The 11,519-nt window shown below is 66.5% G+C and overlaps 1 protein-coding gene, 1 long non-coding RNA gene and 3 pseudogenes across 2 annotated transcripts; all 5 read left to right on the top strand.

The window, feature by feature from the left end:
• LOC100533651 (uncharacterized) lies at positions 158-1,308 on the top strand (annotated as a pseudogene).
• Positions 1,996-3,146, top strand: LOC100533650 (uncharacterized; annotated as a pseudogene).
• On the top strand, positions 3,831-5,032 carry LOC100419987 (uncharacterized; annotated as a pseudogene).
• On the top strand, positions 5,105-6,349 carry LOC124901637 (putative uncharacterized protein FLJ44672). The gene has a single exon (XM_047421137.1). It carries the CDS (start codon positions 5,301-5,303, stop codon positions 5,847-5,849), a length of 549 nt encoding a protein of 182 aa, XP_047277093.1. The 5' UTR covers positions 5,105-5,300; the 3' UTR covers positions 5,850-6,349.
• A 1,498-nt stretch (positions 6,350-7,847) lies between these two features.
• LOC401357 (uncharacterized) lies at positions 7,848-11,460 on the top strand. Its single transcript, NR_130727.1, has one exon. It is a non-coding gene; the product is annotated as an uncharacterized LOC401357 (long non-coding RNA).
• Positions 11,461-11,519: the final 59 nt, after the last annotated feature.

Genomic DNA, 11,519 nt, shown 5'->3' with positions numbered 1-11,519 from the left:
CCTGGCGTTTGCTCCTTTGCATGGGCTCCAGGTCCTGCACTTCCTGCAGTCGGCCTCTCCAGGCCCAGCTCTTCCTCCCGGCAGCCTCTGCGGGACCAGACTGTCGTCAAGTAGGCCTGTCCAGGGACAGCTCCTGCCTCCCGGCAGACTCTGCAGGCCCAAGTCGTCCTCAAGTCAGCCTCCCCAGGCCCAGCTCCGGCCTCTCGGCGGCCTCTCCAGGTGCAAAAGTTCCTCGAGTCCGTCTCTCCAGGTCCAGCTCCTCCTGTCTCCCAGTGGCCTCTTTCAGCCCAGCCCAGCTCATGCCTCCCGGCGGCCTTCCCAGGCCCCGCTTTTGACTTTCCGCGGCCTCTGCAGGCCCCGAACTTGACCTCTAGTCGGCCTCTGCAGGCCTGGCCTCCTGCCTCCCGAAAGCTTGCACAGGCCCAGCCTCTGCCTCACAGCGGACTCTCCACGCCCAGCTCGCTCTCGCCTGCGGCCTCCCTAGTCCAAAGCTCCGGCCTCTCCGCCGCTTCCGCAGGCCCAGCTCCCGCCTGCCAGTGGCCTCTTCAGGCCCATGGGGCTCATTCCTCACAACGGCCTTTCCAGGCCCAGTTTTTCCCTTCCGGCGGCCTCTCCGGGCCCAGAAGCTCCTCAAGTCGGCCTCTCCAGACCCACTTGCAGCCTCCCGGCGTCCTCTCCGGGCCCAGCTCTTCCTCCCGGCTGCGTCTACAGGCCCGACTCCTGCCTCCCAACAACCTCTTTGGACTCAGTGCCTGCCCAGCTCCTGGTGGCCTTGGTCGGCCCACAGCTTCCTGAAGCCAAGCTCCCCGGGCCCAGCTCAGGCCTCACGGCGGCCTCTCCAGGCTCAGCTCCTGCCCTCCGACGGCGTCTCCAGGCCCCAAATGGCCTCGGGTCGGTGGGCTTCTCCAGGCCCAGCTTGGGCCTCCCGGCGGCCTCTGCAGGCTCAAGTGGTCCTGAAGTCAGCCTCTCCAGGCCCAGCTCCGGCCTCCCAGCAAGCAAGCTCTTTTGGCTCAGCTCCTGCCCAGCTCCCGCCGGCTTTTGTAGACCCTGAACTTTCTCCAGCGAAGCTCCTCAGTCCCACCTCCTGCCTCCCGGTGGCCTGTACAGGCCCAGGTCTGGCTGGAGAACAGCCTCTGCAGGCCCCGCTCTTGCCTCCCAGGGGCGTCTCCAGGCCCAGCTCTGGCCTCACGGCGGCCTCCCGGGACCAAGTCCCTGCCTGCCTCCCAGCAGCCTGTGTGCGGCCCAGCTCCTCCGTCACGGTGGCCTGTTGAGGCCCAACTCATGCCTCTGGCACCCTTTCGAGAGGCGTGAGCCCCTGCCTCACATTGGCCTCTCTCACGCTGAGGGAGGTCAGCGTGAGCCCCTGCCTCACACTGGCCTCTCTCACGCTGAGGGAGGTCAGCGTGAGCCCCTGCCTCACACTGGCCTCTCTCACGCTGAGGGAGGTCAGCGTGTGGCCCTGCCTCACACTGGCCTCTCTCACGCTGAGGGAGGTCAGCGTGAGGCCCTGCCTCACACTGGCCTCTCTAACGCTGAGGGAGGTCAGCGTGAGGCCCTGCCTCACACTGGCCTCTCTCACGCTGAGAGAAGTCCTCCCTCACGCTGGCCTGTTGAGGCCCAGTTCATGCCTCTGTTGGCTTCTCCAGGCCCAGCCCCTGCCTGTTGGCGGCCTCTAGAGGCCCAGCCTCTACCTCAACCGTGGGCCCTCCACGCCCACCTCTTGCCTCGCCGTGGCCTCCTCGGACCAGGCTCCCGCCTTGGGGCGGCCCCCGCAGGCCCAGCTCCTGCCTCACGGCCCTCCGGAGGCCAAGCTCATGTGTCAGGGCGGCCTCTCCCGGCCTGGCGTTTGCTCCTTTGCATGGGCTCCAGGTCCTGCACTTCCTGCAGTCGGCCTCTCCAGGCCCAGCTCTTCCTCCCGGCAGCCTCTGCGGGACCAGATTGTCGTCAAGTAGGCCTGTCCAGGGACAGCTCCTGCCTCCCGACAGACTCTGCAGGCCCAAGTCGTCCTCAAGTCAGCCTCCCCAGGCCCAGCTCCGGCCTCTCGGCGGCCTCTCCAGGTGCAAAAGTTCCTCGAGTCCGTCTCTCCAGGTCCAGCTCCTCCTGTCTCCCAGTGGCCTCCTTCAGCCCAGCCCAGCTCATGCCTCCCGGCGGCCTTCCCAGGCCCCGCTTTTGACTTTCCGCGGCCTCTGCAGGCCCCGAACTTGACCTCCAGTCGGCCTCTGCAGGCCTGGCCTCCTGCCTCCCGAAAGCTTGCACAGGCCCAGCCTCTGCCTCACAGCGGACTCTCCACGCCCAGCTCGCTCTCGCCTGCGGCCTCCCAAGTCCAAAGCTCCGGCCTCTCCGCCGCTTCGGCAGGCCCAGCTCCCGCCTGCCAGTGGCCTCTTCAGGCCCATGGGGCTCATTCCTCACAACGGCCTTTCCAGGCCCAGTTTTTCCCTTCCGGCGGCCTCTCCGGGCCCAGAAGCTCCTCAAGTCGGCCTCTCCAGACCCACTTGCAGCCTCCCGGCGTCCTCTCCGGGCCCAGCTCTTCCTCCCGGCTGCGTCTACAGGCCCGACTCCTGCCTCCCAACAACCTCTTTGGACTCAGTGCCTGCCCAGCTCCTGGTGGCCTTGGTCGGCCCACAGCTTCCTGAAGCCAAGCTCCCCGGGCCCAGCTCAGGCCTCACGGCGGCCTCTCCAGGCTCAGCTCCTGCCCTCCGACGGCGTCTCCAGGCCCCAAATGGCCTCGGGTCGGTGGGCTTCTCCAGGCCCAGCTTGGGCCTCCCGGCGGCCTCTGCAGGCTCAAGTGGTCCTGAAGTCAGCCTCTCCAGGCCCAGCTCCGGCCTCCGAGCAAGCAAGCTCTTTTGGCTCAGCTCCTGCCCAGCTCCCGCCGGCTTTTGTAGACCCTGAACTTTCTCCAGCGAAGCTCCTCAGTCCCACCTCCTGCCTCCCGGTGGCCTGTACAGGCCCAGGTCTGGCTGGAGAACAGCCTCTGCAGGCCCCGCTCTTGCCTCCCAGGGGCGTCTCCAGGCCCAGCTCTGGCCTCACGGCGGCCTCCCGGGACCAAGTCCCTGCCTGCCTCCCAGCAGCCAGTGTGCGGCCCAGCTCCTCCGTCACGGTGGCCTGTTGAGGCCCAACTCATGCCTCTGGCACCCTTTCGAGAGGCGTGAGCCCCTGCCTCACATTGGCCTCTCTCACGCTGAGGGAGGTCAGCGTGAGCCCCTGCCTCACACTGGCCTCTCTCACGCTGAGGGAGGTCAGCGTGAGCCCCTGCCTCACACTGGCCTCTCTCACGCTGAGGGAGGTCAGCGTGAGCCCCTGCCTCACACTGGCCTCTCTCACGCTGAGGGAGGTCAGCATGTGGCCCTGCCTCACACTGGCCTCTCTCACGCTGAGGGAGGTCAGCGTGAGGCCCTGCCTCACACTGGCCTCTCTAACGCTGAGGGAGGTCAGCGTGAGGCCCTGCCTCACACTGGCCTCTGTCACGCTGAGAGAAGTCCTCCCTCACGCTGGCCTGTTGAGGCCCAGTTCATGCCTCTGTTGGCTTCTCCAGGCCCAGCCCCTGCCTGTTGGCGGCCTCTAGAGGCCCAGCCTCTACCTCAACCGTGGGCCCTCCACGCCCACCTCTTGCCTCGCCGTGGCCTCCTCGGACCAGGCTCCCGCCTTGGGGCGGCCCCCGCAGGCCCAGCTCCTGCCTCACGGCCCTCCGGAGGCCAAGCTCATGTGTCAGGGCGGCCTCTCCCGGCCTGGCGTTTGCTCCTTTGCATGGGCTCCAGGTCCTGCACTTCCTGCAGTCGGCCTCTCCAGGCCCAGCTCTTCCTCCCGGCAGCCTCTGCGGGACCAGACTGTCGTCAAGTAGGCCTGTCCAGGGACAGCTCCTGCCTCCTGGCAGACTCTGCAGGCCCAAGTCGTCCTCAAGTCAGCCTCCCCAGGCCCAGCTCCGGCCTCTCGGCGGCCTCTCCAGGTGCAAAAGTTCCTCGAGTCCGTCTCTCCAGGTCCAGCTCCTCCTGTCTCCCAGTGGCCTCTTTCAGCCCAGCCCAGCTCATGCCTCCCGGCGGCCTTCCCAGGCCCCGCTTTTGACTTTCCGCGGCCTCTGCAGGCCCCGAACTTGACCTCCAGTCGGCCTCTGCAGGCCTGGCCTCCTGCCTCCCGAAAGCTTGCACAGGCCCAGCCTCTGCCTCACAGCGGACTCTCCACGCCCAGCTCGCTCTCGCCTGCGGCCTCCCGAGTCCAAAGCTCCGGCCTCTCCGCCGCTTCGGCAGGCCCAGCTCCCGCCTGCCAGTGGCCTCTTCAGGCCCATGGGGCTCATTCCTCACAACGGCCTTTCGAGGCCCAGTTTTTCCCTTCCGGCGGCCTCTCCGGGCCCAGAAGCTCTTCAAGTCGGCCTCTCCAGACCCACTTGCAGCCTCCCGGCATCCTCTCCGGGCCCAGCTCTTCCTCCCGGCTGCGTCTGCAGGCCCGACTCCTGCCTCCCAACAACCTCTTTGGACTCAGTGCCTGCCCAGCTCCTGGTGGCCTTGGTCGGCCCACAGCTTCCTGAAGCCAAGCTCCCCGGGCCCAGCTCAGGCCTCACGGTGGCCTCTCCAGGCTCAGCTCCTGCCCTCCGACGGCGTCTCCAGGCCCCAAATGGCCTCGGGTCGGTGGGCTTCTCCAGGCCCAGCTTGGGCCTCCCGGCGGCCTCTGCAGGCTCAAGTGGTCCTGAAGTCAGCCTCTCCAGGCCCAGCTCCGGCCTCCCAGCAAGCAAGCTCTTTTGGCTCAGCTCCTGCCCAGCTCCCGCCGGCTTTTGTAGACCCTGAACTTTCTCCAGCGAAGCTCCTCAGTCCCACCTCCTGCCTCCCGGTGGCCTGTACAGGCCCAGGTCTGGCTGGAGAACAGCCTCTGCAGGCCCGGCTCTTGCCTCCCAGGGGCGTCTCCAGGCCCAGCTCTGGCCTCACGGCGGCCTCCCGGGACCAAGTCCCTGCCTGCCTCCCAGCAGCCTGTGTGCGGCCCAGCTCCTCCGTCACGGTGGCCTGTTGAGGCCCAACTCATGCCTCTGGCACCCTTTCGAGAGGCGTGAGCCCCTGCCTCACATTGGCCTCTCTCACGCTGAGGGAGGTCAGCGTGAGCCCCTGCCTCACACTGGCCTCTCTCACGCTGAGGGAGGTCAGCGTGTGGCCCTGCCTCACACTGGCCTCTCTCACGCTGAGGGAGGTCAGCGTGAGGCCCTGCCTCACACTGGCCTCTCTAACGCTGAGGGAGGTCAGCGTGAGGCCCTGCCTCACACTGGCCTCTCTAACGCTGAGAGAAGTCCTCCCTCACGCTGGCCTGTTGAGGCCCAGTTCATGCCTCTGTTGGCTTCTCTAGGCCCAGCCCCTGCCTGTTTGCGGCCTCTAGAGGCCCAGCCTCTACCTCAACCGTGGGCCCTCCACGCCCACCTCTTGCCTCGCCGTGGCCTCCTCGGACCAGGCTCCCGCCTTGGGGCGGCCCCCGCAGGCCCAGCTCCTGCCTCACGGCCCTCCGGAGGCCAAGGTCATGCGTCAGGGCGGCCTCTCCCGGCCTGTCGTTTCCTCCTTTGCATGGGCTCCAGGTCCTGCACTTCCTGCAGTCGGCCTCTCCAGGCCCAGCTCTTCCTCCCGGCAGCCTCTGCGGGACCAGACTGTCGTCAAGTAGGCCTGTCCAGGGACAGCTCCTGCCTCCCGGCAGACTCTGCAGGCCCAAGTCGTCCTCAAGTCAGCCTCCCCAGGCCCAGCTCCGGCCTCTCGGCGGCCTCTCCAGGTGCAAAAGTTCCTCGAGTCCGTCTCTCCAGGTCCAGCTCCTCCTGTCTCCCAGTGGCCTCTTTCAGCCCAGCCCAGCTCATGCCTCCCAGCGGCCTTCCCAGGCCCCGCTTTTGACTTTCCGCGGCCTCTGCAGGCCCCGAACTTGACCTCCAGTCGGCCTCTGCAGGCCTGGCCTCCTGCCTCCCGAAAGCTTGCACAGGCCCAGCCTCTGCCTCACAGCGGTCTCTCCACGCCCAGCTCGCTCTCGCCTGCGGCCTCCCTAGTCCAAAGCTCCGGCCTCTCCGCCGCTTCGGCAGGCCCAGCTCCCACCTGCCAGTGGCCTCTTCAGGCCCATGGGGCTCATTCCTCACAACGGCCTTTCCAGGCCCAGTTTTTCCCTTCCGGCGGCCTCTCCGGGCCCAGAAGCTCCTCAAGTCGGCCTCTCCAGAACCACTTGCAGCCTCCCGGCGTCCTCTCCGGGCCCAGCTCTTCCTCCCGGCTGCGTCTACAGGCCCGACTCCTGCCTCCCAACAACCTCTTTGGACTCAGTGCCTGCCCAGCTCCTGGTGGCCTTGGTCGGCCCACAGCTTCCTGAAGCCAAGCTCACCGGGCCCACCTCAGGCCTCTCGGCGGCCTCTCCAGGCTCAGCTCCTGCCCTCCGACGGCGTCTCCAGGTCCCAAATGGCCTCGGGTCGGTGGGCTTCTCCAGGCCCAGCTTGGGCCTCCCGGCGGCCTCTGCAGGCCCAAGTGGTCCTGAAGTCAGCCTCTCCAGGCCCAGTTCCGGCCTCCCAGCAAGCAAGCTCTTTTGGCTCAGCTCCTGCCCAGCTCCCGCCGGCTTTTGTAGACCCTGAACTTTCTCCAGCGAAGCTCCTCAGTCCCACCTCCTGCCTCCCGGTGGCCTGTACAGGCCCAGGTCTGGCTGGAGAACAGCCTCTGCAGGCCCCGCTCTTGCCTCCCAGGGGCGTCTCCAGGCCCAGCTCTGGCCTCACGGCGGCCTCCCGGGACCAAGTCCCTGCCTGCCTCCCAGCAGCCTGTGTGCGGCCCAGCTCCTCCGTCACGGTGGCCTGTTGAGGCCCAACTCATGCCTCTGGCACCCTTTCGAGAGGCGTGAGCCCCTGCCTTACATTGGCCTCTCTCACGCTGAGGGAGGTCAGCGTGAGCCCCTGCCTCACACTGGCCTCTCTCACGCTGAGGGAGGTCAGCGTGAGCCCCTGCCTCACACTGGCCTCTCTAACGCTGAGGGAGGTCAGCGTGAGGCCCTGCCTCACTCTGGCCTCTCTCACGCTGAGAGAAGTCCTCCCTCACGCTGGCCTGTTGAGGCCCAGTTCATGCCTCTGTTGGCTTCTCCAGGCCCAGCCCCTGCCTGTTGGCGGCCTCTAGAGGCCCAGCCTCTACCTCAACAGTGGGCCCTCCACGCCCACCTCTTGCCTCGCCGTGGCCTCCTCGGACCAGGCTCCCACCTTGGGGCGGCCCCCGCAGGCCCAGCTCCTGCCTCACGGCCCTCCGGAGGCCAAGCTCATGTGTCAGGGCGGCCTCTCCCGGCCTGGCGTTTGCTCCTTTCCATGGGCTCCAGGTCCTGCACTTCCTGCAGTCGGCCTCTCCAGGCCCAGCTCTTCCTCCCGGCAGCCTCTGCGGGACCAGACTGTCGTCAAGTAGGCCTGTCCAGGGACAGCTCCTGCCTCCCGGCAGACTCTGCAGGCCCAAGTCGTCCTCAAGTCAGCCTCCCCAGGCCCAGCTCCGGCCTCTCGGCGGCCTCTCCAGGTGCAAATGTTCCTCGAGTCCGTCTCTCCAGGTCCAGCTCCTCCTGTCTCCCAGTGGCCTCTTTCAGCCCAGCCCAGCTCATGCCTCCCGGCGGCCTTCCCAGGCCCCGCTTTTGACTTTCCGCGGCCTCTGCAGGCCCCGAACTTGACCTCCAGTCGGCCTCTGCAGGCCTGGCCTCCTGCCTCCCGACAGCTTGCACAGGCCCAGCCTCTGCCTCACAGCGGACTCTCCACGCCCAGCTCGCTCTCGCCTGCGGCCTCCCGAGTCCAAAGCTCCGGCCTCTCCGCCGCTTCGGCAGGCCCAGCTCCCGCCTGCCAGTGGCCTTTTCAGGCCCATGGGGCTCATTCCTCACAACGGCCTTTCCAGGCCCAGTTTTTCCCTTCCGGCGGCCTCTCCGGGCCCAGAAGCTCCTCAAGTCGGCCTCTCCAGACCCACTTGCAGCCTCCCGGTATCCTCTCCGGGCCCAGCTCTTCCTCCCGGCTGCGTCTGCAGGCCCGACTCCTGCCTCCCAACAACCTCTTTGGACTCAGTGCCTGCCCAGCTCCTGGTGGCCTTGGTCGGCCCACAGCTTCCTGAAGCCAAGCTCCCCAGGCCCAGCTCGGGCCTCATGGTGGCCTCTCCTGGCTCAGCTCCTGCCCTCCGACGGCGTCTCCAGGCCCCAAATGGCCTCGGGTCGGTGGGCTTCTCCAGGCCCAGCTTGGGCCTCCCGGCGGCCTCTGCAGGCTCAAGTGGTCCTGAAGTCAGCCTCTCCAGGCCCAGCTCCGGCCTCCCAGCAAGCAAGCTCTTTTGGCTCAGCTCCTGCCCAGCTCCCGCCGGCTTTTGTAGACCCTGAACTTTCTCCAGCGATGCTCCTCAGTCCCACCTGCCTCCCGGTGGCCTGTACAGGCCCAGGTCTGGCTGGAGAACAGCCTCTGCAGGCCCCACTCTTGCCTCCTAGGGGCATCTCCAGGCCCAGCTCTGGCCTCACGGCGGCCTCCCGGGACCAAGTCCCTGCCTGCCTCCCAGCAGCCTGTGTGCGGCCCAGCTCCTCCGTCACGGTGGCCTGTTCAGGCCCAACTCATGCCTCTGGCACCCTTTCGAGAGGCGTGAGCCCCTGCCTCACATTGGCCTCTCTCACGCTGAGGGAGTTCAGCGTGGGCCCCTGTCTCACACTGGCCTCTCTCACGCTGAGGGAGGTCAGCATGAGCCCCTGCCTCACACTGGTCTCTCTCACGCTGAGAGCAATCCTCCCTCACGCTGGCCTGTTGAGACCCAGCTCATGCCTCTGTTGGCCTTTCCAGGCCCAGCCCCTGCCTGTTGGCGGCCTCTAGATGTCCAGCCTCTACCTCAACAGTGGGCCCTCCACGCCCACCTCTTGCCTGGCCGTGGCCTCTTCGGGCCAGGCTCCCGCCTTGGGGCAGCCCCCGCAGGCCCAGCTCCTGCCTCACGGCCCTCCGGAGGCCAAGCTCATGCGTCAGGGCAGCCTCTCCCAGCCTGGCGTTTGCTCCTTTGCATGGGCTCCAGGCCCTGGACTTCCTCCAGTCGGCCTCTCCAGGCCCAGCTCTTCCTCCCGGCAGCCTCTGCAGGACCAGACTGTCGTCAAGTAGGCCTGTCCAGGGACAGCTCCTTCCTCCCGGCGGCCTCTGTAGGCCCAGACTGTCATCAAGTAGGCCTGTCCAAGGACAGCTCCTGCCTCCCGGTGGCCTCTGTTGGCCCAAGTCGTCCTCAAGTCTGCCTCCCCAGGCCCAGCTCTGGCCTCTCGGCGGCCTCTCCAGGTGCAAAAGTTCCTCGAGTCCGTCTCTCCAGGCTCAGCTCCTCCTGTCTCCCAGTGGCCTCTTTCAGCCCAGCCCAGCTCATGCCTCCCGGTGGCCTTCCCAGGCCCTGCTTTTGACTTTCCGCGGCCTCTGCAGGCCCCGAACTTGACCACCAGTCGGCCTCTCCAGGCCTGGCCTCCTGCCTGTTGACAGCCACTAGAGGCCCAGCCTCTACCTCAACAGTGTGCCCTCCAGGCCCACCTCTTGCCTCGCCGTGGCCTCCTCGGGCCAGGCTCCCACCTCGGGACGGCCTCCGCAGGCCCAGCTCCTGCCTCACGGAGGCCCTCTGGAGGCCAAGCTCATGCGTCGTGGCGGCCTCTCCCGGCCTGGCGTTTGCTCCTTTGCATGGGCTCCAGGTCCTGCACTTCCTCCAGTCGGCCTCTCCAGGCCCAGCTCTTCCTCCCGGCAGCCTCTGCAGGACCAGACTGTCGTCAAGTAGGCCTGTCCAGGGACAGCTCCTGCTTCCCGGCGGCCTCTGTAGGCCCAGACTGTCATCAAGTAGGCCTGTCCAGGGACAGCTCCTGCCTCTCGGTGGCCTCTGCAGGCCCAAATCATCCTCCCCAGGCCCAGCTCCGGCCTCTCGGCGGCCTCTCCAGGTGCAAAAGTTTGAATCAGTATCTCCAGGCCCAGGTCCTCCTGTCTCCCAGTGGCCTCTTTTGGCCCAGCCCAGTTCATGCCTCCTGGTGGCCTTCCCAGGCCCCACTTTTGACTTTCCGCGGCCTCTGCAGATTCCGAACTTGACCTCCAGTCGGCCTCTCCTGGCCCGGCCTCCTGCCTTCCGAAGGCCTGCACAGGCCCAGTCTCTGCCTCACAGCGGACTCTCCACGCCCAGCTAGCTCTCGCCTCACTGCAGCCTCCCGAGTCCAAAGCTCCTGCCTCTTGGCCGCTTCGGCAGGCCCAGCTCCCACCTGCCAGTGGCCTCTTCTGGCCCATGGGGTTCATTCCTCACAACGGCCTTTCCAGGCCCATTTTTTCCCTTCCGACTGCCTCTCAGGACCCAGAACCTCTGGGCCCACTTGAGGAGATGCAGCCAGGAGGAACAGCTGGGCTTGCAGAGGCTGCCATGCGGGAGGCAGAGGCTGGGCCTCCTGAAGTCGGCCTCTCCAGACCCACTTGCAGACTCCCGGCATCCTCTCTGGGCTCAGCTCTTCCTCCCGGCTGCGTCTCCAGGCCCGACTCCGGCCTCCCAACAACCTCTTTGGACTCAGCTCCCGCCCAGCTCCCGGTGGCCCTGGTTGGCCCACAACTTCCTGAAGCCAAGCTCCCCAGCCCCAGCTCAGGCCTCACGGTGGCCTCTCCAGGCTCAGCTCCTGCCCTCTGACAGCGTCTCCAGGCCCCGAACGGCCTCCAGTCGGTGGATTCCTCTATGCCCAGCTTGGGCCTCCCGGCAGCCTCTGCTGGCCCAAATCGTCCTGAAGTCGCCCTCTCCAGGCCCAGCTCCGGCCTCCCGGCAGCCTCTCCAGGCGCAACGCGTCGTCAACGAGGGCCCCTCCGGGGTCAGCTCCTGCCTCTCATCAGCCTCTAGAGGCCAGTCTGGCGGCCTCTGCAGGCCCAGACTGCCCTTGAGTCAGGCTCTCCAGGGCCAGCTCCAGCCTCCTGGCAGACTCTGCAGGCCCAAGTCGTCCTCAAGTCGGCCTGGAAGTGGGCCTGGAAGAGCTGCATTTTGGCCTCCCCGGGCCCAGCTCCGTCCTCTCGGCGGCCTCTCCAGGTGCAAAACTTCCTCGAGTCAGCCTCTCCAGGTCCAGCTCCTCCTGCCTCCCAGTGGCCTCTTTCAGCCCAGCCCAGCTCGTGGCTGTAGGCAGCCTTCCCAGGCCCTGCTTTTGACTTTTGGCGGCCTCTTCAGGCCCAGAACTTGATCTCCAGTCAGCTTTTGCAGGCCCGGCATCCTGCCTCCCGAAGGCCTGCACGGGCCCGGCCTCGGAATCACAGCAGACTCTCCACGCCCAGCTAGCTCTCGCCTCACTGTGGCCTCCCCAGTCCAAAGCTCCTGCCTTTCGGCCGCTTCGGCAGGCCCAGCTCCCGCCTGCCAGTGGCCTCTTTAGGCCCAGCTCATTCCTCACATTGGCCTTTCCAGGCCCCGTTTTTCCCTTCCGGCAGCCTCTTGGCCTCTAATTTTTTTTATCTTTTGTGTATAAATCCCAAAATATGGAATTTTGGAACATTTCCACCATTATATAAATATTTTGGTAGGTAATTTATTTGGAGTGAGTTTCTGCACCAAGCCCGAATTTTTTATTTTATTTTCCTTATT

The sequence above is a fragment of the Homo sapiens genome, chromosome 7 (assembly GCF_000001405.40).
Source record: "Homo sapiens chromosome 7, GRCh38.p14 Primary Assembly".
Classification (NCBI taxonomy): Eukaryota; Metazoa; Chordata; class Mammalia; order Primates; family Hominidae; genus Homo; species Homo sapiens.
The sequence above is the reverse complement of the archived record's forward strand: the minus strand, read 5'-3'. Positions and strand labels throughout refer to the sequence as shown.